Source organism: Homo sapiens, chromosome 13 (genome assembly GCF_000001405.40).
Source record: "Homo sapiens chromosome 13, GRCh38.p14 Primary Assembly".
Taxonomy (NCBI): Eukaryota; Metazoa; Chordata; class Mammalia; order Primates; family Hominidae; genus Homo; species Homo sapiens.
Genome location: NC_000013.11, coordinates 110,858,857 through 110,884,777, shown reverse-complemented (window position 1 = coordinate 110,884,777; position 25,921 = coordinate 110,858,857). Strand labels below are relative to the sequence as shown.

Sequence of the window (25,921 nt, the reverse complement as noted above, 5' to 3'; positions counted from 1 at the left end):
ATAATTCTAAGTATCTGAGTTAACCAGAAATACACATAAAAATGCATTTATGAGTATGTTAATTGTGGTATTCATGATAGGAAGGAAAAGGGAAGCAGCCCAGACAGCTGCAGGGAATTTGGTTAGGCGAATCGTAATACAGCCATAGGGCAGAGGAAAGATTGTTTTGAAATTAACTGATAGGACATTTATGCCATGGTAAATGAATAAAGCAAGGTGTAACAGTGATTTGTTAGAATCCTTTTTGGTAAAAACATTCTTAAACACGAGAAGCCGTTCAGACACATGGAGCTGCTTGTTGTAAGAAGTGAGTCTTGCTAGGATTCAGAGGCGGAGGTGCTTGTGCAGCGTGGGTATGACATGGGGCATTCGCATCTCCACAGTACAGAGAATGGTCATCTTGGAAGTGAAGTGCCCGTGTAGCTTTAGCTTCACATTTCTAACGCTTTCTGTATTTTGGTGTAATTATTTTACTGTATTTTGGTGCTCAGATCAAATGCCACTCTGGGACAGTGCTGACAGACTAGTCTTGAGTCTCTTAGCCTTTACATTATTTTTTTTGTTAATGGAAATAGTGGATTTTTTTAAAAAATCAGGATTGTTTTAATTGTATGTAAATTTAAGAATTGTCTTAGTATTAAAAAAAAATCTGCTGAATTTGAAAATGGAGTTTGGAATTGTTTCCAGGTTATATAACCACTTCATGTCTTCTAAATGTCCAGAAAATTAGAATTTTTGCCATCAAGTAAATCTATAATAGGCATCTGAAATTCCATGACCTTAAAATCTGCACATGTCAAGAAATCTTTTTGATTGTGGAAAAGTTTTTCAGTTGTGTGCTAAGCTCATTAGTGACCTGTCGATTTTTTTTTATGTGATTGTTTAAAGTGTTCAGTGCTCACACAAAATAATGTAAACTGTGTGTCTGAACACTTATCTTGTTACAGACAAAGGAATCTGAAATAGTCTTTGTTTTCTGTGCAGCTCAAAGCTTGGATTCTGCCGTGCCACTCACGAATGGCGACACAGAAGACGATGCTGACAAAATGCACGTTGATAGGGAGTTTGCTGTTGTAACAGGTGGGAGTGGACAGTTTCCTGTTAGCTGCAACAACAATCCAATGGTTGAAGACACCAAACAGCAGGAGAGTGGTTCTGTTGGACCAAAAGAAATAGAAATATATACTGTGTCAGCAATGCAGACCCCCTGTCGTTGCAGGAATCAGTATGCATATTATTTCTAACATAAGTTTTTCTCAGATGTTTTGCACTTTGTTGTCCAGTGTCTTTTTAAAAATGTTATACTATAATTTGCATATCTTGGGCAAGTTTGTAGATACAAGAAGTGTTTTGGGTATATTCTGTGGACATGAAAAATGTAAGTGCAATCTTTATTCTGATTTGAAGCTATTGCTTAATGTGCCTTGCTTATTTTTAATGAGGTTTGCATTTTTAATTTTCTGACATATGGCCTTTGGGTGAATATACCGAACATGCTACAGTTAATATTTTCAAACCAATATACCACAAAGAGGACGACTAGCAGTAAACACTGAGAAACTAGTAAATGTGGTTCTGACTCAGCCCAGTCACTCCAGCATGGAATCTTTTACCCAGGACTTGGTTGCTCTGGTTTCTGTGGTCTTCATTCTGAGTCTGTTAAAATGGTAAACACTGTGTTTCACAACACACATTTTATACATTAATGTTTTTAGTATATTAAAACAGTATTCCTGTTTCCAATTTTTAAGAAGCAGAAGCAGCTCAGTTCTTATAGCATTTAGAATATCTAAAATGATTTGTCCATTTAGCTATTGCTTTTTTATTCAGGTGACTACAAAAACATTTTTAGCCATTCTCTTAACATGTATGAATATTTAGAAGTAGATTTTTTTTAAGTTTATTATGTCTTTATGCAAATTCTTCACTGGGGATGAAAAAAAGAAGAGTATGTATATTGTTTCCCAAACCCACATGAAAAAAATCATTTGTGTTCACTAAACTTAAAAGAAAATGTGTTCATCTTTCTGGAAGCTACAGAATTGCTGTGGTCACCTTCTTCCCAGTAGAGAAATTCAGATCAGTTAGTATATTTAAAATAATAGGTTTTCTGTAGTCAGGGGCTATTTGACCTTAGCTAAAGATCCATAACAAAACTCAAATCCTGCTTTTTTTAAAAGTGACCTTGCTACCTTCTTTTGAATAGGCAGAAGTGGCCACCTTTTATTCCTCAGACATTAGTTATTTGTTAAACTTTATCCAAGCTGGAACATACTTTTGAAAAACCCAGCCCATCCCGTCTACCAGATGCCGAGTCCATACACCCTGTGTTTCCCATCATTTGATTTATGACACTCTGACTGAGTAAGCAATGTGTTAAATCACTAGAGATTACTCGAGGCTTTCCTTGTGGGACATGGCACTCCACGTCCACTGGAAGCTTGAGGGAGCTGCCTTCACAGTCCTTTGAGAATCAGACCAAAAGTCAGGCTGCTCTCCTTTAAACACTTGAGTAACTTCAAATTTTTGTTCTGCCAAAATTATTTCCAAGAATTCTACATTTTTGAACAACTGTGTACAGCTATCTTTGCATTTTAAATGCCCCTAGTTTGAGACTCGGGAGGGTCAAGTGTCCCCACCCCTGGAAAGGGCTCGGATAGGAGGGTGCTTGCTTCTAAATCCTGATCTTCTCTATGGGGTTGGCTGGAAGAGAAGTAGGATCTTGTCTGAAACCTCATCCCCAGCATTGTGTTTGGATGTTCGTGGGATCCGAGGGCTGGCCGGGCAGACAGAAGGGAAGTGCGGGTCTTGGCTGGCAGCTGGGAGCAGAGGAAGGGAGAGCGTTGGAGGTCGTGATGTGCGTGCTCTGCCTCAGTAGGTCTGAGGTGCCCACTGTTGTTATGCTTAGTTTTATTAGATTCTCTGTAACAACATGAGCTTACCAACCAGCCTTGATTTTGAGATTAAATAATTGAACAGATTAACTGGGCACTGAAGTAAAATTCTACCTACTTTATTCTCTTAGTAAAAACTATACACACAATAAACAACTGTCAAGGTTGCCATCATATTTGAGTTTTGTCACCTAGGAAAACATTGTTTATACTTTGTTTTTGAAAAAATTCATATGAATTTCCCCTGGGAATAACTTGTTTTATTTCAGTTTTTATTTTCTATTGAAACACTTGTTTTCTAGTCTAGGATTTTAGCCAAATAGAAAAGCTATCATTTAATTTGGGGGAAAAAAAATCTATTGTCCTGTGAAGAATTTATAGCAATTATTAAACTATGTTGCTTAAATATAAAAAAAAAGGATGATTAATGGAATATTTAGATAATGTTTCCATTCACTGAAGAAGCCGTGATCCTTTATTGGCAGGAAGACTTGCAGGACATATCAGAAGCCTCTGTCAGAGGTTTACAGGAGGTGAGATGGAGGGGAAGCCCTCTATGGGAAGAGTCCCATGGTGTGTGACATGTTAGGGTAATCGGATGTATTTAAGCTGCGTCCTCATTCTAAAAGTTATTAGAACTGAGCTCTTCTAGATTTAATAACATGCTTTGCTTTGGTAGTGAAGAACATTGAGATAAAATCTAGTATTACCGAGTTAGAGATAATTTTAGATCATCCCTTATACTGTTACGTGAATTCCTGTGAACATGAATATTACTGATTCTCAAGTTCCAGTATACAGAAGAATAACTTGTCATTGCCTGTCCTGGTGTACCCAGATGTTCCATGATGGACGTTTTATCCCATAAGACGTCTCCCTCCTGATAGATGTCTGTATATGCAGATTAAACTACCAACATTTTTTCCAGCAAAGGTGGTTTTTGAAAGTAACCTAATGAAACCCTGGCTGCCATGGTCATTTTAATTGCTGGACTGAGAAGAAGCGACTCTGCGTTGTGCTGTTGGCCCAGGCCTGCATGCCTGAGGACTGTTGGCCGTTACAGTTCCTTGCTGTGGTCGCCGGTCTCTCTGTATTCTGCCACTGCTCTCATGTGGCATTTGGCAGAAGTACTACGTAGATTTCTGTGCTACTGAAAAAAATAAAAACAGTGGTTCCTTTTAATAGCCCTGATTTGAGACTTAGGAGAGGGTCAAGAGTCCCTACCTGATTTATGAGGAGAGAAGATTTTTTAAAAACCTCATGTGATGCTGTCATACATAGTTCAAAGAGCTTCCTTAATTCACTTCATTTACCTTTTTTTCCATTTTCGCTTGAGAACTAGAGAAGTTTGTGTTCTGTTGGAACCCTCTGTAGAACACTTTACACTCAGTTCTGATGGACCTTTTCAGGGGCGATTTTTTAAAAACCGCTCTCGAAAGTAGTCTTAAAATGAGAGCACTTTATTGATGGCTTTTCAGGACTGTGTTGGTATTTTTCATGCAGTGTATTTGTCAGCTTACATTTTTCAGTTGAGCTACCTGATGCTACTGACACACACATGATTTTCCTATCTTACCAGGCAAATACTACTGTTAACGTTTTAATAGTAAGTCTACTTATGCACATTGATTTTACTTTGAAAAAAGAACTGGTTTAAAAGGAAAAAAAAGAAACTAAAATTCTTTAAAATTGTAATGGCAGTGAAGCATTTTATAGTTTCTCCTCCCTCATTGGTTCTGAATTTTGGTGACAGGTGTATTTCTTAATGCAGATATGAAAAACAGTAGCTCCGTATCGAATACATTGACAAATGGATGTGTCATCAATGGACATTTGGACTTCCCCTCCACGACCCCGCTCAGTGGGATGGAAAGCAGGAATGGCCAGTGCTTGACAGGAACTAACGGAATTAGCAGTGGATTAGCCCCAGGACAGCCGTTTCCGAGTAGCCAGGGTTCTCTCTGCATTAGTGGGACTGAGGAGCCAGAGAAGACCCTGAGAGCTAACCCTGAGTTGTGCGGTTCTCTGCACCTGAACGGGAGTCCAAGTAGCTGCATAGCCAGTAGGCCTTCCTGGGTGGAAGACATTGGGGATAACCTGTACTATGGACACTACCACGGGTTTGGGGACACTGCTGAAAGCATCCCAGAACTGAACAGTGTGGTCGAGCATTCCAAGTCCGTGAAGGTGCAGGAGCGGTACGACAGTGCCGTGCTGGGCACCATGCACCTGCACCACGGCTCCTAGAGACGCTGACCTGGCTCTCGGAAACGCAGGAGTCCTTCCTGGTAGCCAGCTCAGAATACCCATGTAGCAGCAACTTGAACGAATGTCACAACTTGTACGTTTTTTATATACTTCAACTTTCTGAAAAAGTAAACTTCGACAAGTTCCCAGCAACTGCTTGTTTGTGCATGAGTAGGGCTTACTAAGTGCATAGATGTTTCTACAGTGAGGTGTCCTTTTTATAAGGTGCACTTTTGGAGTTTTTCTGATGCCAATCTCAACATTGTCTTTTTAATACTGTCACCAGATATTGCCATTTTTCTTTTTGTTAAAAGATTATATGATCAAGATAAATTGGGGTGGTAAATCAGGTGCCTGGTAATTTATCTCTTTGCACATGGGCATCATTTTAAAAAGCTTGCTTCCACTCTTTTCTGTAGAATTTGACGGAACACAGCTATTTCCCTATGCAAGGTACAGCCTTACAAAGATTTCTGCAGTGATTTGTGTGAAGAAGAGAACGTTTGTCTTTTTCAATGAAGCTTTGCAGATCACCATGTGGTTGAAGGTTTTAGTTGTGGACACAGTGGTCCCTCCTTAATGATGAAGATCACTGCCTTGGGCTTCATGGAAAACAGGCCCAGCCTGGGGCTGCGTTTGGATTTATTGTTTTTATTCCACACTTCCTACTTGGTCTCTGGAAGTTTTACCACATGTAACAGATTCCTTTATATGTAGTGGAAATCACTATTTGTAGAAACTGTCAGGTCAAAATATTTAACTGACTGTTGACATGTATTTTCTTTTTTCCTTGTTTTTGTTTTTTGGGGTTTTCTGCTTTAAGATATATACCACTATGTATATCCAGTTAACTGAGAGAATTTTGACTCTCTTAATAAAACTGCATTAAGTTTTTGATTTTGTAGAAATTAGCTTTTGTCTAGGCAACTAGTGGTTATACTCTGCAAATATTGTAATGAATTTTTACTTTTTTGATTTTTGTAATAAAAATTGGTGCAGATAAAATGTCAAATGAACAAACCAGTGTTCTAAGAGTGTTACTAACATTTTGTTCTAAAACTGTCCTTCACAAATTGAATAAAAAACTCTCACACTCAGTGTGTCCCTGGGGTTTCTCTCTGGGCTTGGGGGCCGGCGGGGTGTGGATATCTGTGGAAGGAATGGGAAGGGAAGAGAAGTTTACTATTGTTTCATTTTGCTTATAAGATTTTACTTGACTCTTCTGACACTCTTCATACGGTGTTTTTTCTATTTTTGAGTTTCTACTCTAGTTTTATGGGCACCGTTGGTACTGAACCTCTGTGGAGGAAGGATGAATTGCATGTCAGTTCAGTATTGTGCCTGGGTGCTTATTTTCATAAAAGACAGCAACCATAATGTTCTAAACTTCTTTGGTTTTAGCAACTGTTAATTAATGTAAGCCTTTTAGGAATATGAATTACAGTTATAAATAGCACCAATATAGCCATTCTGGCATGCCTACATATGCAATTTAAAACATTCACTGCATCATGCATATTCTTGTAAAAACTTAATAGACCACAATGAGGGAGCATTATGCTTTGGAAGTTTTGCAAAAATTACAGTGAGAACAGGAAGAGAATGCATGGCGCTGTCCAGGCCACCGCCTCCCATCCTATGGCAGACACTAGTAATCAAGCTTAGAACTGAGATTTGGCCTCAGACTGATCCAAGAAGCCACCCACACTACTGAGTTTTTAAGAGAGATGAAACTTGATGCCATCCCGTTTGGACTGTTTTCTAAGGTATTCCAGATGTTCTATAGTGACTTAATTATTTGCTGAAAAACGTTGTGAATCTCTGAAAACACAGTAAACATACTTTTGATTAGTCTTGAATTTTTGGACAGAAGATGACTGCTTAGGAACAAAAATGTTGCATAGAACCTAGAGTAGGGCAACATCCACACTTGAGTGGATGATTGAAGTAGTTTGTCATATTCTAGTTTAGAGTCATTTACACCAGTATATTCAGTTCTTATTTAGTGATACATAAGGAAATGGTGATGATGGAATTGCTTTCATGCCTGGAATTTGCTTCAAACCATAAAAATATGAGTGGAGCCCATGATCCCTGGTGAGTGGAGACAAGGATCAAACACAACTGGTGCAGGCCGATGTTAAATCTGGGTGGTGGGTATGTGAAGGTGCGTTAGTCTGTGTATTTTGTATTTATTTGAGACAAGTTTTTTGGGGTTTTTTTTTTCAGGACTTGAAGAAAAAATGCTCTATTAAAAAATATGGTTGTCATTTTAACATTGAGAATAAGCTTAGGTATTTCTGTGTCCACCAGAATTGACGTTTATACTGACTGCAAGAATAGCTCACTGAGTCTTAGCCTTTTTGGCCTGCAGATACTTTCCCATGCATGCATTCTCTTGTACTAGTAGAAACAATTGGAAAATGAAATAAAGCCCATTTACAGTGACACCCAAACCATGGCATACCTATGAAAATATCTTAACAAAAGATGTTCAAGACCTCTACACTGAAAACTATAAAACATTACTCAGAGATAGAATACCTAAATAAATTTTTGGTTGAAGTATGTGGAGAAAATCTGGCCTTACACAGATAGGTAATTGGAAAAAGGGATATTTGAATCGTCTTTGCAGTTAATTGTGAGTACTTGATACCATGCCCAAACTCTGTAGTGGTCGTGGGGCAGGAGAATAGGAAGTTAGGGTAACCAAGGGCTAAGGCATAAGCAAAAGAACAGCAGGTACAGCCAGTTCTAGGCAAGATTAGGCAGCACTCAGACCACAGCCTCCTACCTGTGATAACAAGACAGTCTCCACTTCAGCCTCTGATTGGTTGCAGGCTAATCTTTCATAGGGTGCAGCCAATTGGAGGCCTCTAAAGGTCACCTAGGGGTGTTACCAAATTCTTTTAGCTTAGTAAAAACCCTAGAGGGGGCACTCTTGACCCTGGCTCAAGTTGGCTCCCACTCTGGAGGGTACTTTTGCTACAATAAATCTGCGCTTTTTTTGCTTCTTTCGTTGTTTACTTCTTTTGTTGCTTTGTGTGTTTGGTTCCATTCTTTATTCAGCTGCACCAGGAACCTGGACAACTCGCAGTCAAGACCTTCCATTCAGTAACAGTAGTTTCTTAAAGGCTAGTTGCAATGTTGAATCAGGATCCACATCAGTGAGCTTCTTGTATCGTTCCTGTAGAGTCCATCTTTCACTTAGAATGGACCTTTAACCCATGCATAATTTTTTATGCATTACTTGGGAAATATTTTTTAATTGAGTTCTGCAAGTCTTTCAAATGTTGAAACTTTTCATTAATATTAAAACATTGATAACCAGCCAGGTGCGGTGGCTCACGCCCGTAATCCCAGCACTTTGGGAGGCCGAGGCAGGTGGATCATGAGGTCAGGAGATAGAGACCATGCTGGCTAACAAGGTGAAACCCCATCTCTACTAAAAATACAAAAAAAAAAAAATAGCTGGGTGTGGTGGCACGCACCTGTAATCCCAGCTACTTGGGAGGCTGAGGCAGGAGAATCGCTTGAACCTGGGAGGCAGAGGTTGCAGTGAGCCGAGATCACGCCACTGCATTCCAACCTGGGCAACAGAGCAAGACTCTGTCTCAAAAAAATAAAACATTGATCACCAATAATCTCATGAAAGTCAAAAGTTGGAAGTTGTCAAGCTCATGGTACTGGATACAAGTTTTACAACATCCTGATTTTTGCTGAAAAACTCAAATTTTATCATTGGACACAAATACTGTCAGTTTTCCTTGAAGTAGAAGACTCACTTGGTTAATTTTTTGGTTTTTTTAAATTGAGACGGGGTCTCACTCTGTCGCACAAGCTGGAGTGCAGTGATGCGATTTTGGCTCCTTACAGCCTTGACTTCCTGGGCTCAAGGGATCCTCCTGACTCAGCCTTGGAGGTAGCTGGGACTCCAGTCGTGCACCACCATGCCCGGCAATTTTTTTTTTTTTTGGGGGGATGGGGTCTCACTATTTTACCCAGGTTGTCTCAAACTCCTGACCTCAAGCAATCCGCCCACTTTGGCCTCCTAAAGTGCGGGGATTACAGGCTTGAGCCACTGCATTACAACCTGGTTATTTTTTTTTTAATCACATAGCTTGTCAATCATTATTTCAAATGAAAATGACGTTTCTGAAAAAGTCACTGGATACACTTATCGCACAATCAGCCAGAGCCGTGCTTTTCCTGGAGACAGCTGTACACAACAAATCCTTCATGCACACTTCCCTTTACATCACAGAGAACGTGTGCTGTCAAAATTTACTCATGTTTACAGCATTGAGGGCATTCTTAAGTGAAATTGGGTTTTTTTCTTTTTTTTGACTGCACGGCAGTGAAGAATATGAAGGTGATCAGGCCGGGGCAGTTTTTGCTAAGGTGCTAGTAGCTTTACCCACCATTTCTTTTGAACCCTCAGTGCCGAAGTCAACACTGAAAAAGGCAAATCACATCTCGGTAATGAGACCGTTTTGATTTTGGGGACCCCCTGAAATGGGGTCCTGGGGACCCTGGGGTTCTGCAGGCCACAGTGAGAGAACTGCTGGAATGTTTTGAATGATGAGATCTAAGCAACTAGTGATAAATACTGGAAAATGTAGACTGGGTATTCATTGAATTACCCTTTTTGACTTTTCCATAGGTTGGATTTTCGGGGTTTTATTAAGGAGAAGAAAACGGGAGAATAATTTGGAGACAGAACATGGGAAACATTGAAGAGTTTCCCGGAAAGGGGGAGCCAAGAAACAGGCAGCGGGTGGAAGGGAGGAGCCCTCGGGAGGGCGGGAACCGGGGGCGGGGCGCCGGCGCGGGTGCAGGGACGAACCATCAGGAGGGCGGGAACCGGGAGAGAGGCGCAGGGGCGGGGAGAGGGGGGTGAGCCGGGCGGTTCTGGCGCGGCTCTGCTTGGGGAACCGCAGCCAAGGTTGGGGCGAGGCCGTGGTTGGGATGGGCCGGGGCGGGTGAGGGGTCCCGGGGCGGTGGGAGGGTAGCGGGGGCTGCGGCAGGGCACGGCTGGAGCTGGGGGCTGGAGGTGGACACCACCCCAAGAGTCTGCACTGAGCAACGGTAACAGTGAGCCCGGGCACAGCTGCAGCCAGGGAGACCCTGAGTGTGCGAGTGTGCGTGTGAGGATGTGTATCAGTGTTTGCAAATGCATGTGAGTGAGCGAGCATGAGGATGTGTGTCCATGTATGGATGTGAGTGTGCAAATGTGTGCGAGGACTGGGAGTGTGTGAGAGCGTGTCAGTGTGGGAATGTAGGGGGAATGTGGAGGGAAGTGTGTCGTTGGCAATGTGTGAGTGTGCAAATGTGTGAGAATGTGAAGGGAAGCGTTGAGTATTGGATGTGAGTGGTAATCTGGTGTGTGTGAATGTGTGAATGTTTATGTGTGAATGTACGTGATGTGTGTGGATGTGTATGATGTGTGCGCACGTATGAATGTTGATTTGTGTGACGTGTGTGCAGATGTGTATGAATGTGTGATGCATGTGGATGTGTGTAAATGTGGCTGCTGTGCATGTGTGAATGCTATATGTGTGTGACGTTTGTGACTGTGTGTGTGCAGGTGTGACTGTTTTATATGTGTGGCTGATGTGCATGGGTGGTAGTGTATGTGAAACATGTTATATGTGTGCATGTGTGAACGTGTGTGGCTATTGTGCACGTGTGGATGTGTGTGAATGTTGCATGTGGGTGTTGTGTCGAGGTGTGGGCATGTGTGTGAATGTGACTTGTGTATCTGGATGTGTGTGAATGCAGGTGTGTGAATGTGTCACTTGTACATGTGTGGATGAATGTGCGTGTGTGAATGTTATGTGTGTGTGACTTGTGTGGGTGTGGATGTGTGTGAATGTATGCATGTGTGTGAATGTCGTGTGACGTGTGTGTGTGAATATATGTGTGACTTGTGTGGGTGTGAATATATGCATGTGTGTGAATGTCTTGTGTGTGATGTGCGATGTGGAGAATGGATGGAAGAGCAGGCGCTTGGCGAGGGGGGAGGGAGGAGGATCAGAGGCCATGGGAGAGGGCGGAGGGAGCGTAGGAGAGGCCATGGGGGAGGGGAGGGGCGGAGAGGCCACTGGGGAGGAGAGGCCGGGGTCGGGGGCGCCTGCCCACCGTGAAGAGGCCCCTGAGGGCAGCTCGGCCTCCTGTTGGGGGCCAGGGTCGGCTCTGGCGGGAAGGCCCAGGCAGTGCAGAATCATGGAGCTCAGGGGCCCTGCTGGGGTCCGCTCAGGAGCCTAGGGTCCTTAGAGAGGTCTCAGGAAATGGGCAGGGGGAGATGGGGCTGGAAAGGGGACATGTGGACAGAATGGGGTCGGAATCGGAGTCTCCCGGGCAGGAATCGCTGGGAAGGTGGACATCTCAAGCCCTGGAGAAGCTTCCAGTCCGCGGAAAGGGGAGAGGACTGGAGCTCCTGGGTGTCTGGGGCAGGACGTGGATGGGGTCACATTTTTCTCTGTTGGGAATAGCACGTGCGAGGCGTGGGCTCGGGCTTTGAAGGTTTGCAGGGTGGGGAAGGGAGGCCGGTGAAGCTCTGAAACCATCCCCGAGGGGACTCTGAGTGACCACTTTGTGGTCAATCCGCAGGGAGAGCTGAGGACGAGGCGGAGGCCCCACAGGTGAGGGCCAGGTGAAAAGCCCTACAGCTGCTGTGTTGTCGAGCCCCGTGGCCAGGCGGGGCGGGGGGCCATGGGTCCCCCAATTCTCTGGGCATTCAGCAGAAAAACCGGCAGGGCTCAGCCAGGGAAGCTGAACTAGAAGTTTCTAACCTGTGCAAGCAGAGCCACACAGGTCAAGAGGACTCTGGGAGGTCCCAGGGCTCAGGGAGGGGCTGCGGGAAGTGCAGGCTTGGGAAAGGGGTCTCCACCTGGAGTTCAGGCCTCATCCCAGTAATGGTCACAGCCACCAGATGACCAAGTGCCCCAGTACCTGGGCAGGCAGGTCCACAGTGCAGCAAAGAGGGATGTGCCTCTTGGGCAAAGTCTGGCAGAGGCTGAGGGGTGGGTACTCGCCCAGTACCTGTGCTGGAAGGTCACCTTGAAGGGGTCCCCAGGCCATGACCAGGGCTGCAGTGTCCCCAGGGTTAGAGCTGGTCAGTGCAGAACTGGGCATCCCCCTCAAAACACAGCACTGACAGCAGCAGCAGAGCGTTGAGCTGTGAGGCAGGACGTCCCACCCGGGGAGGGGCCCCTTCCTTGGGCTCACGTTCTCAGGAGATCACAGTGCAGTGTCAGCCAGGGCTGCAGTCTCATCTGAAAGCTCCCCTGGAGCCTCTGCATCCAAGCTCACGCACATGGCTGGTGACTGGACCCAGTTCCCCCCGGGTCGCTGAACTAAGGGCCTGAGTTCTTTGATGGTTGTTGGCCTAAGGCCACCCCAGCTCCGTGCAGGGGAGGGCAGGGGCCTCTCCACCAGGCACTCTGAGGAGTGCTCACCCCCCGCAGGGAGAGGCGGGAGGGACGGGGAAGGGCAGAGGACACATCAGGTTTTTCATCTTACTGCGTTTTTTTTAAAACAGGAAGATCTGAAGCCAACTACATTCAGCAAGTTTTCTTAAGAACAAAGTAAGAAAGATAAACCAGAACAGCCCTGCTTGGCTTATCCCGGCCTCGCCTTAACCCTCCCTTCCCTGCCGTCTTTCTGTGGCTCCCCTCTGCCAGGTGCCCCCTGAACTTTAAGATTCCAGGATGGTTTGAGAACAACTTCGATGTTTCTGTTTTCCCATTTATGAAGGCTACTGTGCTCTCACCAGTGAATTTAATTACAAGATTTTTAGAAGCAGCTAAAAAAATTGCAACTCAGATGCATCAGTGAATCAGTCCTATTCCCTGTCTGCTAAAGGATGTCTTTTCGTTACCATCATCTGCCGCAGGGCTTTTCTGACAGTTCATATAATTCAAGATAATTGAAGCCAATTTTGCAAGCAAAACGACAGGAACCACTACATGAAATAGCACATCAAGTCTCTGATTCACAACAATGGCACTATTTCCTCAATGGTTTTAAAATTCTCTTGGCTAGGCGTAGTGGCTCACGCCTGTAATCCCAGCACTTTGGGAGGCCGGGGCGGGCAGGTTGTTTGAGCTCAGGGGTTCAAGACCAGCCTGGGCAACAACGTGAGACCCTGTCTCTACAAAAAATACAAAAATTAGCTGGGCTTGGTGGCGCATGCCTGTAGTCCCAGCTACTTGGGAGACTGAGGTGTATCAATTGAGAAAAATGACAAGACAAGTCTCAATCATTTTAGGAGGTTTACTCGCCAAAGTTAAGGACGAACACTCGGGAGACAGTCTGTACCTTTCTCCGAAGATGATTTTGAGGGCTCCAAATTTAAAGGGGAAAGGGTGAGATAATGACAAGTACACAATTTTCATCTAAGAGGCGGGTAGAGAAAAATAGTCATGCGTTTGGCTCATTGAATCTGCATTATTTTTACACAAGATGACTTAGACAAAGGGGGCAGGGGAACAATCAGGTTTGCATTTGTGTCTGGCGGGCAGGGGTTGACTGCACCTGTAAAGATGAGCTATCGATTTGCATTGCTGTGGTGAAATCTTAACAGAAACACCTTACAGTAAAGATTGCGGAGCTCACTAGGAATTTCCTTGTGGACAAAATATAGGGGAGGTGTGCAGTTTTTCATCTTGCAGCATCTTATTTAGGGACCAAAAGGGGAGGCAGGTTTGCATGACCCAGTTCCCAGCTTGACTTTTCCCTTTGGCTTGAGTTTGGGGGCCCAAGATTTATTTTCCCTTCACAGGTGGGACGATGGGTTGCAGGGAGGATGGGAGCCTGGGAGGCAGGGTTGCAGGGAGCCAAGATCATGCCACTGCACTCCAGCCTAGGTGACAGAGTGAGATCCTGTCTCAAACAAAACAAAACAAAACAAAACCTCTCTCTGGAAGAGAAAGGAGGGACTGTGAAAACAACCGAGGGAACAGGCAGCTTTCATTACCAGCAGCATGGGATCCTCGCCCAAGGCCGAGAAAACACAGGAGTGAAATGACAGCTATAGAGGTACACTCCGCAGGCTGCATGAAAAGGACAAAAACAGTAATATACACACCAGTAAGGAACGGCATTGGCATGCTCCGCCTCCTGTGGGCAGCCTGGGGATGAGGTCATTTTCCAAAACAGGGAGCTGGTCAGCATTTTCCATGCCCAGGGCAAGTTCCCCTTGATGGACAGCACCTAATGACCAGCGCTGAGTCAGTCTAGGAGCAGAAAGACTGGAAACCCTGGAGTAGGGGCCACGTCAGCATGACTCACTCAAGCAACGGCAAATTCTCACAGCAACAACATGAAACGCCCTCCAGGGTGATGACTGTGGGAGCAAAACTGACCGGAACCTGGGCGGTGCATGCACTGTGCACCCTCCTGGTTAACAGCCCCACGGCCCGAGAGCTGTGCTTTACATGAATGTCTTCTGTTAAAGCAGCTCGTGTGGCTTCTGCACCCTGGTGGAGCCAACACACGTGCCTGTCACGGAGGTGAGGAGTGAGTGAGTTCTCACCAGCATTTGACGCTGACCTTCCGGAGACATGGCGTCCCTGAGAGCCTGCAGCCTGCCAGAGCAGAGAGCCACCCGCTGGCCGTTCTGTTGGAATTTCGGAGTTCCTGTCTTTCAGGCAACATCTGCCAAGCGCGGTTTGTGTAAGGAAACCCATTCTGTCGTGTCTGCCGGGGCCCAGGGCGGCTGCTGTGCGGGAACCAGCTTTTGTGGCCCATGGAGCAACGACTCAGTCTGGGGCTCGGCTACTCTCCGGCCCGGGGTACTGGCATTTCCCTGGGGCCCATGGGGCGAGTGCCCCTATTTTTCCCATGAGGCCTCAGCCAAGAGGAGGTTCGGGAAGAAAGGAAAACACAGGTGAGGAGAGAGAAGGGCGGGCAGAGAGGTACCACGCCATTAGTGCTGATGGGGAGAGGCGGCTCCAGCCCGGCACTGCTGTCCTTACGAGGCATGTTTCCTTTTTATTCGGAGGAAGAGAAGCAGAGGAACACGTCATGGAGACGGACCGAGTTGAAGGAGCCAGGGATGGTGACAAGCGGAAGGAAGTGTGTTTTGTCCCCATCCAGGGAAGCTTTTGTTTCATGAGACTTACTTGCGCACGTCTGGTAGCTGCCCTGGACATTCATGGACTTTCGTTTTCACTCAGATTTTGTGGTTCACGTGACACAAAGCATGAGGACATCACTGGGCGAGAGGGCCAGGTCACCCCACTGCCGAGGGGCACGCCCCAGCTGTGCACCGCTAGAGTGGGCTTGTCCAGTCCTCGGACACGGGGACAGGGTGTGCCCATCTCATGTAAGACATGAATAATAGTAGAAATTTCTGTTGCATGAGAACTCTCTGCATTATCCTCACCATTTTCCTGTAAGCGTAAAACGTCTAAAACTTTTTTATGAGCACACTAATTCCTCACTTAAGGTCGTCATTAGGTTCTTGGAAATGGCAACTTTAAACAAAAGGACAGACAGCAGGTCCTCAAATAACATTCTTTCCTTCAACATCATTTCATCCTAAGGAGAAAAAAATGGATTTTGTTACATATCCTGGTTCATTTCCAAGAACCAGGTGGGCATAGAATTGACCAAAGGTGGAGGAGAACAGATGTGCGGCTCCGTCCTGGCTGTGTGGCTCCGTCCTGTGGACTAATGCGTGTGGACAGTCAGGAACACTTTCAGGACAATGTGGGTGGCCTGCCAATGGGACCTATTCCAGAGGTCTGAGAAGAAACCGTTGTTTAACCTAGAATCCTGCTAGGAATCAAACTAGCTTTGACAGGAAAAGGAAAAAGAATGAGGACTCTGAACAGGGACAGACTCAGAACAATTCTTATCCACTCATAGTTTAGGAAATAATCTTACAGCATGTGCTCCACCAGGGTCACCAACTGTCCCAATTTGCTTGGGACTGAAGGTTTGTTTGTTTTTGTTTCTTTGTTTTGAGACAGAGCGTCTCTCTCTGTTACCCAGGCTAGAGTGCAATGGCGTGATTTTAGCTCACTACAACCTCCACTTTCCAGGTTCAAGCAATTCTCCTGTCTCAGCCTCCCTGAGTGGCAGGGATTACAGGAACCCACCACCATGCTGGCTAATTTTTCAATATTTAGTAGAGATGGGGTTTCACCATGTTGGCCAGGCTGGTCTCGAACTCCTGACCTCAAGTGATCCACTTGCCTCAGCTCCCAAAGTGCTGGGATTACAGGCATGAGCCACCGTGCCCAGCCTACTGAGGGGTTTTTATGGACATGGGACTTTTAATGCTAACACTAGGACAGTCTCTGTCAGACTGAGATGATGGTCACTCTTTGGCCAAACACCTCCACCACTGCCCCGCAACATCCATAATAGCAACAGTTTGAGTAAAGACACAAGTACCATTTGCGGTCCAAATACTTGAGTGTGTAAACGGTGCATTGGGTGTGCACAGCGGTACCCAGAATCTCCAACTAGCTCCTCATGAGCTGGGTGGGGCATGCAGGGAAGGAGGCAAAGCTTCCCACCTGTCTGGGGAGGCTGTGGGCTCCACCTCTGCAGACTTTGGTAGGAGACCAGTGTTCATGCAGTTGTAGTAATGCACGTGTAGCTTAGGGTTTTTTTGGGACTAAACTATGGACAAAGCACAGAACTCAGTTGTCTCTGTAGAAAAGGGTGGCCTGTCACCCGGTACCAGGTGAGGGGAGTGTGGCAGTGGCAAGAGCACCTGGTGGTGGCCGAGAGGAGGCACGGAGGAGAGTCAGGGTACCGTGCCCTCATGGAGTGAGTGCGGAAGACAAAACAACAGACACAGTTGTAATGACATTACTTTATTTGGGGTTAAATTAGGGTGCACATCACAGAAAATCCTCAAACCACAGGGAATGAAATGGAAGTTGTTTCTCTCTGGTAAAACAAGTCTGAAAGCTGCAGTGTCATCAGATCCACGGCCCTGCATCTCTGCCACACCCCACCATGCACCTCCAGTCCTCCCGGCCTGTGGCTTCCAGGGCTCCAGGAACTAGGGAGGGACAGACACTGGGATCTTCTGCCATGAAGCAGAGAGGGATGCTGGGGAAACACATGGGCACTCGCTGCCACAAGTGCCTCCTGGAAAAGCAAAACCCAATGCCATGGCTGCCTCCCTCCGGCAGCACCAGCACGAGTGAGCCAGATCCTCACCTTTGATCATCAAGGCTGAGAGGTAATATCTGAGGTCGACAGATCAAGAAGTAGAGACAAAAGCAAACCAGGCTGGTGGTAAAGAGGAGGAATGACCGTAAGATGCCTCTGAAAAGTGGGAATATGGGGAATCTCCTCTTGGTTTCTGGTTGCACATGTGAATTTATTGAAAACTGAATATATTAAGATGTGAGCTTAGGAGTTGGCAGCCTGTGGCATGGGGAGGTGTGGGAAGTGGACAGTCTCAGGTCAGGGTGGGCTGGAAAGTGGTGCCACCTCGAGAACAGTAGGTTAACATCTACCCCCAGTGACGACATTCAAACCTTCATCCAGCATCCACTTCCAGGGGACATTTTCACAAAATATTCACGAGAGCACACAAAATATACAAAGGATGACGAGGGTTGAACATTGTTGTGACAAAACATGGGAAGCAACTTAAGTGCCATCTGTGGGAAACGGTCTAGTGGTGGAGCTGTGGGGCTGTGGGATACTGTGGGCGGGTGAGAAACGGAGAGGCGTCTCCAAGCATCAGTGGGATAAAATTGCTCTATCTGTATTTTCAAAGGAGAAAAAGAACAAGCCCCAAGCTGTGCATTTACACGGGGACATGAGTACATCCATCTGTAATGCGTCTGTCACCCCACAACAGGAGGGGTTAGCTGTGCGTGGGGAGAGGGTGAAGAAGGGCTTTTGCCTGGTGCTAGACTGCCTGGGTTCAAATCCTGCTCCTACTTAGTGCTGTGCAATTTGGGCAAAATACCTAAACCTCTCTGTGCCTTCATTTCCACCTCTCTAAAGCGGGGTCTGTGACAATGCCCACTCCTCATTCATAAGGTGGTGGTGAGGATTAAATGAGCTGATGCCCTCACAAGGTGTTTGTCCATCAGTGATAGGGTTTGGCTGTGGCCCCTGTGTCCCCACCCAAATCTCATCTTGAATTGTAATCCTCATAATCCCCACGTGTCGAGGGAGGGATCCCGTGGGAGGTGATCAGATCATGGGGGTGGTTCCCCCATGCTGTCCTCATGATAATGAGTGAGTTCTCACGAGATCTGATGGTTTTATAAGGCAGTTTCCCTGCTCTTACACGCTCTCTTTTGCCTGCCGCCATATAAGACATGGCTTTTCCCTTTCCACCATGATTGTAAGTTTCCTGAGGCCTCCCCAGTCATACAGAACTGTGAATCAATTTAACCTCTTTCCTTTATAAATTGCTCAGTCTGAGGTAGTTCTTTATAGCAGTATGAGAATGAACTAACACAGTAAATTGGTACTGCGGAGAGTAGAGTATTGCTATAAAGATACCCAAAATGTGGAAGCAACTATGGAACTGGGTAACAGACAGAGATTGGAACAGTTTGGAGGGCTCAGAAAAAAGACAGGAAGATGTGGGGAAGATTGGAACATCCTAGAGACTTGTTGAATGGTTTTGACCAAAATGCTGATAGTGATGTGGACAATAAAGTCCAGGCTGCGGTGGTCTCAGATGGAGATGAGGAACTTCTTGGGAACTGGAGTAAAGGTCACTCTTGCTACGCTTTAGCAGAGACTGGTGGCATTTTGCCCCTGCCCTGAGATCTGTGGAACTTTGAACGTGAGAGAGATAACCTGAAATTGGAACACATGTTTACGAAGAAGCAGAGCATTAACATTTGGAAAATTTGCAGCCTGACAATATGATAGAAAAGAAAAACCCATTTTCTGGGGAGAAATTCAAGCTGGCTGCAGAAGTTTGCATAAGTAACGAGGAGCCAAAGGTTAGTCACCAAGACAATGGGGAAAATGTCTCCAGGGCATGTCAGAGGCTTCGCAGCAGCCCCTCTTAGCACAGGTCTAGGAGGGAAAAATGGCTTCATGGGCCAAGTCTAGGGCCCCACTGCTCTGTGCAGCCTCTGGACTGGATGCCTTCTGTCCTAGCTGCTGCCACTCAAACTCCAGTCGTGGCTAAAAGGGGCCACATACAGCTCAGGCTGCTGCTTCAGCGGGTGCAAGCCGGAAGCCTGCACAGAATTCAAGAATTGAGGTTTGGGAACTTCTGCCTAGATGTCAGAGGAAGTATGGAAACAGCTGGCTGTCTAGGCAAAAGTTTGCTGCAAGGGTGGAACCCTCATGGAGAACGTTAGGGCAGTGAGGAAGGGAAATATGGGGCTGTAGCCCCCATAACAGAGTACCCACTGGGTCACTGCCTAGTGGAGCTGTAAGAAGAGGGCCACCATCCTCCAGATCCCAGAATGTAGTCCCACTGACAGCTTGCACTGTGGCCTGGAAAAGCTGCAGACACTCAATGCCAGCCCACGAAAGCAGCCAGGAGGGGGGCTGTACCTTACAAAGCCACAGGAGCAGAGCTGCCCAAGACCATGGGAACCCACCTCTTTCATAAGCGTGACCTGGATGTGAGACATGGAGTCAAAGGAGATCATTTGGGAGCTTTAAGATTTAATGATTGCCTCACTGGATTTTGGACTTACATGGGGCCTATAGCCCCTTTGTTTTGGCCAATTTCTCCCATTTGAAATGGAATCATTTACCTAATGCCTGTACGCCCATTGTATCTTGGAAGTAACTAACTTGGTTTTGATTTTACAGGCTCATAGGTGGAAGGGACTTGCCTTGTCTCAGATGAGACTTTGGACTTGGACTTTTGAGTTAAGACTTTGGGGGACAGTTGGAAGGGCATTATTGTGTTTTGAAATGGGAGGACATGAGATTGGGGAGGGGCCAGGGGCAGAATGATAATGGTTTGGCTGTTTCTCCACCCAAATCTCATCTTGAATTGTAATCCCCATAATCCCCATATATCGAGGGAGGGACATGTTGGGAGGTGACTGGATCTTAGGGGTGGTTTCCCCCAGTTGTTCTCATAGTAATGAGTTCTCACAAGATCTGATGGTTTTATAAGGCAGTTTTCCCTGCTCTTGCTCGCTCTGTCTTGCCTGCCGCCCTGTAAGACGTGCCTCTTCCCCTTCTGCCATAATGGTAAGTTCCTTGAGGCCTCCCCAGCCATGCAGAGCCATGAGTCAATTAAACCTCTTTTCTTTATAAATTACCCAGTCTCGGGTAGTATCTTTACAGCAGTGAGAGAACAGACTAAGACAATCAGCTTCTATGTTGTTGGCAGTTTTACCATGAGCATGGATTCCTATATTCCTTCTGAAATTTTCTTTAAAAGTGTAAGCTTATATAGAAAGTATATTCGACACTCACAACCCTTCCCAGCCATAAAAGACAGTGGGGTGTGAGTGTGTGGGATGGGATGCAGCAATGGCAGCCCAGTAACAACAGCAGTGCGTGCCGGGAACAGCTCAGCAGCAGGGCAGGTCAGGGCTAACCCAGTTAACTCAATGCAGGCTCCCTACACCAAGTGATTTGGTTTGCAAATAAATATTATTTGTTTCTGTTTTAATGTGTAAACAGAGCACCTGAATTACACAGTAATGTAACTCTGAAAATTGCTAAATTTCTACCTGACTTTATGCTTGGGAGAAACAGTCTGGGAGCTGAGGACCACTCACCCCACAGGGGTCGCAGCAGAAGGAAGAGCAGGCACGGACCTCGTAGGGCCCCACTGAACAATGGGGCTCTGGCCACAGCACTGCCCGGTGACGAAAGTAGGAGGGAGGTTTTGACAAGCATTGCTCAGAGTGTTATTGGATCCTGATGCTTTCTATCAAAGATGAACTTTGTCAAAAGTATTTTAGCTTCCTATCATTATATGGAGTACTCCACATTAAAGAAAAAAAGCCAGGTATGTGATACTCCCGCTGCTATGGCCACCTGGAGAGGAGAGGCCGCTCACCAGGCCTGCATGTGTGAAGGGTGACCTCAGGTCACAGCAGGAAATGAGAGTGGGCCTGTGGGGTTAGACTGGATCTGGAGGCACAGGCATGAGCTCAGGGTTTCCAATACATAAAAATAGGCATCATAATGAATGTAAATGTGCAGACACAAACATTCACCTACACGATGGAGCACATGGAGATGTGCCTTCCAGAACATTCCTTCCGGAGGCACAGACCTTGACCCTGACTCAGAGCAAATACCAGAGAAACCCAAGCTGCGACCTTGACCCAGGAACTGGGGGCCTGTGCCAGGGTCAGAAAGGTTAAAAGCGCCCGGGGAGCGTCCCAGCGGCAGGAGACCGAAGAGACCTGAGCATGGTGCTCCCTGACTTCTGAACCAGGTTCTTTCTTTCATTTTTATTTTTATTAATTTTATTTTAGGTTCAGGGGTGCATGTGCAGGTTTGTTACGTAGGTAAACTCATGTCACAGGGGTTTGTTGTACGTGTTATTTCATCACCCAGGTATTAAGCGCAGTACCCAATAGTTCTCTTTTCTGCTTCTCTCCCTCCTCCTACCCTCCTTCCTCAACTAGACCGCAGTGCCTGTTCTTCCCTTCTTTGTGTTCATGAGTTCTCATTGTTTAGCTCCCACTTATAAGTGAGAACTTGTGGTATTTGGTTTTCTGTTCCTGCATTCATTTGCCAAGGATAATGGCCTGCAGCTCCATCCGTGTTCCCACAAAAGACAGGATCTCGTTCTTTTTTATGGCTGCAATAATGTCCTTTACAGTGAACCGGATTCTTCACTGTAGGGGACATTATTGTGACACCTGGAGACATGTGAATAAAGCCTGAGGGTGGGTGGGATGGTGGTCAGCACAGCTGTCATGCATGGTGGCTAGGGGTGACCATGGAGGAGTGTGTCCTTGTTTCTCAGAATCACACACCAAAGTTTTGCAGCATGATAGGGCAGGAACTTCAGATAGTTTGGAATAGAAAAATGTGTAAAGCCAGATCAAAGTAAATAAACCAGAAGCCGACCAATGAAAAGGGGAAATTTATATATAGTGTTATCAGAAATCAGTACAGAAAGGATTAAATATGATTTAGCATTGGGGGAAATAAGTTTTAAATCACCACCTCACACCATGCTCCAAGGTATATTCCACATGGAACAAAAAAATGAATGTCACAAGCTACACCAAGGGCTAATGTCCTTCCACATATAGAGAATACTTCAAAAGTGAATCAGAAAGCCTATCAAATCCCAATGGCATTTTTGCAGAAATAGAAAAATCCATCCTAAAATTCATATGAAATCTCAAGGGGCATTGAATTGCCAGAACAATCTTGAGGAAGAACAAAGTTGGAGGCCTCACACTTTCGGACTTCAAAACATTTCGAAGCTAAAGTAATTTTTAAAATATGGTATTGGCATAAAGATATGCCTATAGATTAATGGAATAAAATACACAGCCCAGAAATAAACCCTTGCATATATGGACAAATGATTTTCAACAAGGGTGCCAAGATCATTCAATGAGGGAAAAGACAGTCTTGCCATCAAGTGATGTTGAGAAAATTGGACATTCACGTGCAAAAGAATGAAGTTGGACCCTTACCTTCCACCACATACAAATATTACTTAATATTAATTACCATATATGGATACACTTAATTAATTATAGTTTTAGCTCTTATTAAGTATTATTTTGTAAGATTTAGCTCTTACTAAATGTAAGACTAAAACTATAAAACTCTTAGAAGAAAACACACGGCAACACCTTCATGACATTGCAGTTGGCAGTAATTTATTGGATATGACACTGAAAGCACAGGCAACAGAGGAAATAAGACATAAATTTGATCACATCAAAATTTAAGCCTGTGCAACAAGGGACACAGCCATCAAAGGCAACCCATGGGGTGTGAGAAAATATGTGCGAATCAGATACTTGATAAAGGGTTGATATCTAGAATATATAAAGAATTCCCACAACTCAACAACAACAACAACAACAAACATTCAAAAATGGGCAAAGCAATTAAATAGACATTTCTCCAAAGACCTACAAATGGCCAAGAAGCACATGAAAAGATGCTCAACGTCACTAATCATTAGGGAAATGCAAATCAAAACCACAGTGAGACACCATCTCACACCCACTAGGATGCCCACGATGAAAGATGATTCGAGTTGAAGGACATGGATATTTTCTCTCACCACAATGAATTAAACTAGAAATAAGTAATAAAAAGACACTCGGAAAATCCTCATGTATGGCAAGTAAGATATACACATCTAAATAACCCATGAGCCACAGAAGATACCATGGTGGAAACTTAAAAGTATTTTGAACTAAATGATAATAAAAGTACTACATTTCAGTAGCTTTCAGGTTATAGCTAAAGCCTTGCATGAAGAGAAGTATGAATTTAGAAACATATATTATAGGGGAAAAAAGCCAAAATAAGCTGAGTATGCATTTTAAGAAGTTAGAAAAACAGCAGCATTTTAAACCCAAAGAAACTATAAAAATAAAAGAAGAAATTAATGAAATAGGAAATAAATGTATAATAGAGAAGATCAATTAAAACCATTACTTGGTTCTTTGAAATAACTAAAAAAATTAAACATCCATTGGTGAGACTGATCAAAGAAAAGAGGGAAGATTAAAAATTTCAAGACTGTAAAAGGTCATATAGAATCTTCCTCATTAAAATGATAAGAGGATATTATAAGCAACTTTTTAATCAATAAACTTGAAATTTTAGATAAAATAGACAAATTCCTTTAAGAAGTGCAAATTTTCAAAATATACACCAGAAAGAAATCTGTATAGTCCTAATTCTAAATTTATTGTCTGAAGGTACAATTTAAAATCTTCCCACAAAGAACTCTTTAATCCCAAATGAATTCGCCAGTAAATTCTTATAAACGTCTAACAATGAAATGGCAAACACAAATTCTTACAGAGAATAAGTAAAGAAGGAGCACTGCATATTTATTTTATGACACGAAAACAGCACTGATGCCAAAACCTGACATTTCAGGAGAGGAAAACTGCAAGCCAACTGTGTTAGGCCGGTTTTGCATCACTATAAAGAAATACCTAAGACTGGGTAATTTGTAGAGAAAAGAGGTTTCACTGGCTCCTGGTTCTGCGGGCTGTAAGGAAGCTTGGCTCCAGCGTCTGCTCGGCTTCTGGGAGGCCTCAGGGAGCTTTCGCTCATGGCGGAAGGTGAAGCGGGAGCAGGCACGTCACCCACTGAGAGCAGGAGCGAGAAAGAGAGGGAGACGGAAGGTGCCACACACTTTTAAACAACCAGATCTCGGGCGAACTGATTCACTATCTTAAGGATGCACCAAGAGGATGATGCTAAACTACTCATGAGAAATCCACCCTGTGATCCCATCGCCTCCCACCGAGCCCCACCCCTAATACTGGGATTACATCTCAACATGAGATTTGGCAGGACGAATATCCAAACCACATCACTAACCACTCACGAGCCTAGATGGAAACCGTGAGCACGTCAGGTTTATTCCAGGAATACAAGATGGGTTAACGTTTGGAAATTAACCAGTATAATTCATCACGTTAACAAGAAAGAAAAAAGAAAAATCATCTGATTATCTTAATCTGTGCAGAAAAGTGTTCAATAAATACACATTTGTAATATAAGAAAATGGAACTTTCTTATCCAAATTAAGGGAAACAACAAAAACCTTACAGCAGGCATCACACTGAATATAGCAAAATGTTGATAGTGTTCTGAGATTAGGAACAAACAAGAATGCTCACCTACCCACATATGTTCACCTTTTACTGGAGGTTTTTCCTGGTGCAATAAGGTGAGGAAATAAAAATGATTGGGTAGGAAAAAAAATTCTATTAGTGGATGATATGATTTTGTATGTAGAAAGCTTAAAAGACTTCAAATATAATTAGAATTAATAAGTGAGTTTAAATCATTTATGGGTGCAGGGTCAACATTTTTTTTTTGCGATAGGGCCTCACTCTGTCACCCAGGCTGGAGTGCAATGGTGTGACCAGAGCTCACTGCAGCCTTGACCTCCGGGGCTCAAGCAATTCTCCTACCTCAGCCTCTGGAGTAGCTGGGACTACAGATGCACACCACAACGCCCAGCTATAGGGTCAACTTTTTTTTTTTTTAGTTGTATTTCTATACACCAGTAACAAACAGAAACCTCAGTTTAATCAGGAACGCCAGTTTTAAAAACATCGACTATCAAATATATTTAACATAAGGTATGCAATAGTTCTGTGCAGAAACAGCATTATTGTGAGAAATAAATACTAAATAAATGGAGGAGATACTGAATTGAAAAGATGATGTCATAAAGAAGTTAGTTCTCCCTGAATGATGCTCAGGTAGCTGAAATTGCAATGGAAATAAATATCAATGGATTTTTACAGGCAGTTGTGTGGGGAATGATCTCCATGCAAGCATGCTCTCAAGGTCACTCTCAGATAGGTGATCCCAGAGGCCACAAAACACACAGCCTCAGAGCAAATGAAGACAAATGAACCCTTCACTTTATTACTCCCATTTAAAGCATGTAGTGAGAAGAAGGGGATGCTCTGGGCTCAGCACAAGCAGCATGCGGGCAGGGGATACAGAGGCCCCACCTGGAGTCTCTGCTGCCTCAACCAGACAGTCCCCTGACTGCCTGGGTGTGAGTCCAGGGCTTGAGGTTGGTCCTGGGTTGATGAAAACACTTGCTCTTGGACAGCACAGATCCAACCTAGAGTAACTTATGGAACAAGTGACCTAGTTCCTTCAGC

General features: G+C 44.7%; 1 protein-coding gene and 1 long non-coding RNA gene across 4 annotated transcripts in view, besides 5 other annotated features; both read left to right on the top strand.

Annotated features, from left to right (window-relative positions):
• Window positions 1-6,238, top strand: part of ANKRD10 (ankyrin repeat domain 10) — a 36,530-nt gene extending 30,292 nt beyond the window's left edge. Inside the window, exons 6-7 of one of the 3 annotated variants that reach the window (NR_104587.2) lie at window positions 985-1,048; window positions 4,666-6,238. Coding sequence is in view for 2 of the 3 variants with exons in the window: in NM_017664.4 (NP_060134.2) it covers window positions 985-1,080; window positions 4,666-5,141 (572 nt within the window). In the remaining variant the exon portion in view is untranslated. Of the gene's footprint in view, window positions 1-984; window positions 1,226-4,665 lie in introns of all 3 variants that reach the window. The other 2 variants (NM_017664.4, XM_024449380.2) reach the window with 2 other exon arrangements.
• Window positions 9,890-10,109: a silencer, noted in NCBI's record as "silent region_5520". NCBI's record gives its function as "represses an Ori minimal core promoter by ATAC-STARR-seq in GM12878 lymphoblastoid cells {active_cell/tissue: GM12878}" and the evidence as "EXISTENCE:reporter gene assay evidence [ECO:0000049][PMID:35858748]".
• Window positions 11,047-11,924: an enhancer, noted in NCBI's record as "H3K4me1 hESC enhancer chr13:111525201-111526078 (GRCh37/hg19 assembly coordinates)". NCBI's record gives its function as "activates a minimal SCP1, AML or CMV promoter by ChIP-STARR-seq in primed H9 embryonic stem cells {active_cell/tissue: H9 hESC(primed)}" and the evidence as "EXISTENCE:reporter gene assay evidence [ECO:0000049][PMID:30033119]".
• Window positions 14,170-15,369: an enhancer, noted in NCBI's record as "BRD4-independent group 4 enhancer chr13:111521756-111522955 (GRCh37/hg19 assembly coordinates)". NCBI's record gives its function as "activates an origin of replication core promoter dependent on BRD2, P300/CBP, MED14 and CDK7 cofactors, and independent of BRD4, by STARR-seq in HCT116 cells {active_cell/tissue: HCT116}" and the evidence as "EXISTENCE:reporter gene assay evidence [ECO:0000049][PMID:35650434]".
• Window positions 14,170-15,413: a biological region, named in NCBI's record as "BRD4-independent group 4 enhancer GRCh37_chr13:111521756-111522955".
• On the top strand, window positions 14,470-20,791 carry PRECSIT (p53 regulated carcinoma associated Stat3 activating long intergenic non-protein coding transcript). The gene has a single exon (NR_027701.1). It is a non-coding gene; the product is annotated as a p53 regulated carcinoma associated Stat3 activating long intergenic non-protein coding transcript (long non-coding RNA).
• Window positions 14,727-15,413: an enhancer, noted in NCBI's record as "H3K27ac-H3K4me1 hESC enhancer chr13:111521712-111522398 (GRCh37/hg19 assembly coordinates)". NCBI's record gives its function as "activates a minimal SCP1, AML or CMV promoter by ChIP-STARR-seq in primed H9 embryonic stem cells {active_cell/tissue: H9 hESC(primed)}" and the evidence as "EXISTENCE:reporter gene assay evidence [ECO:0000049][PMID:30033119]".
• Window positions 20,792-25,921: the final 5,130 nt, after the last annotated feature.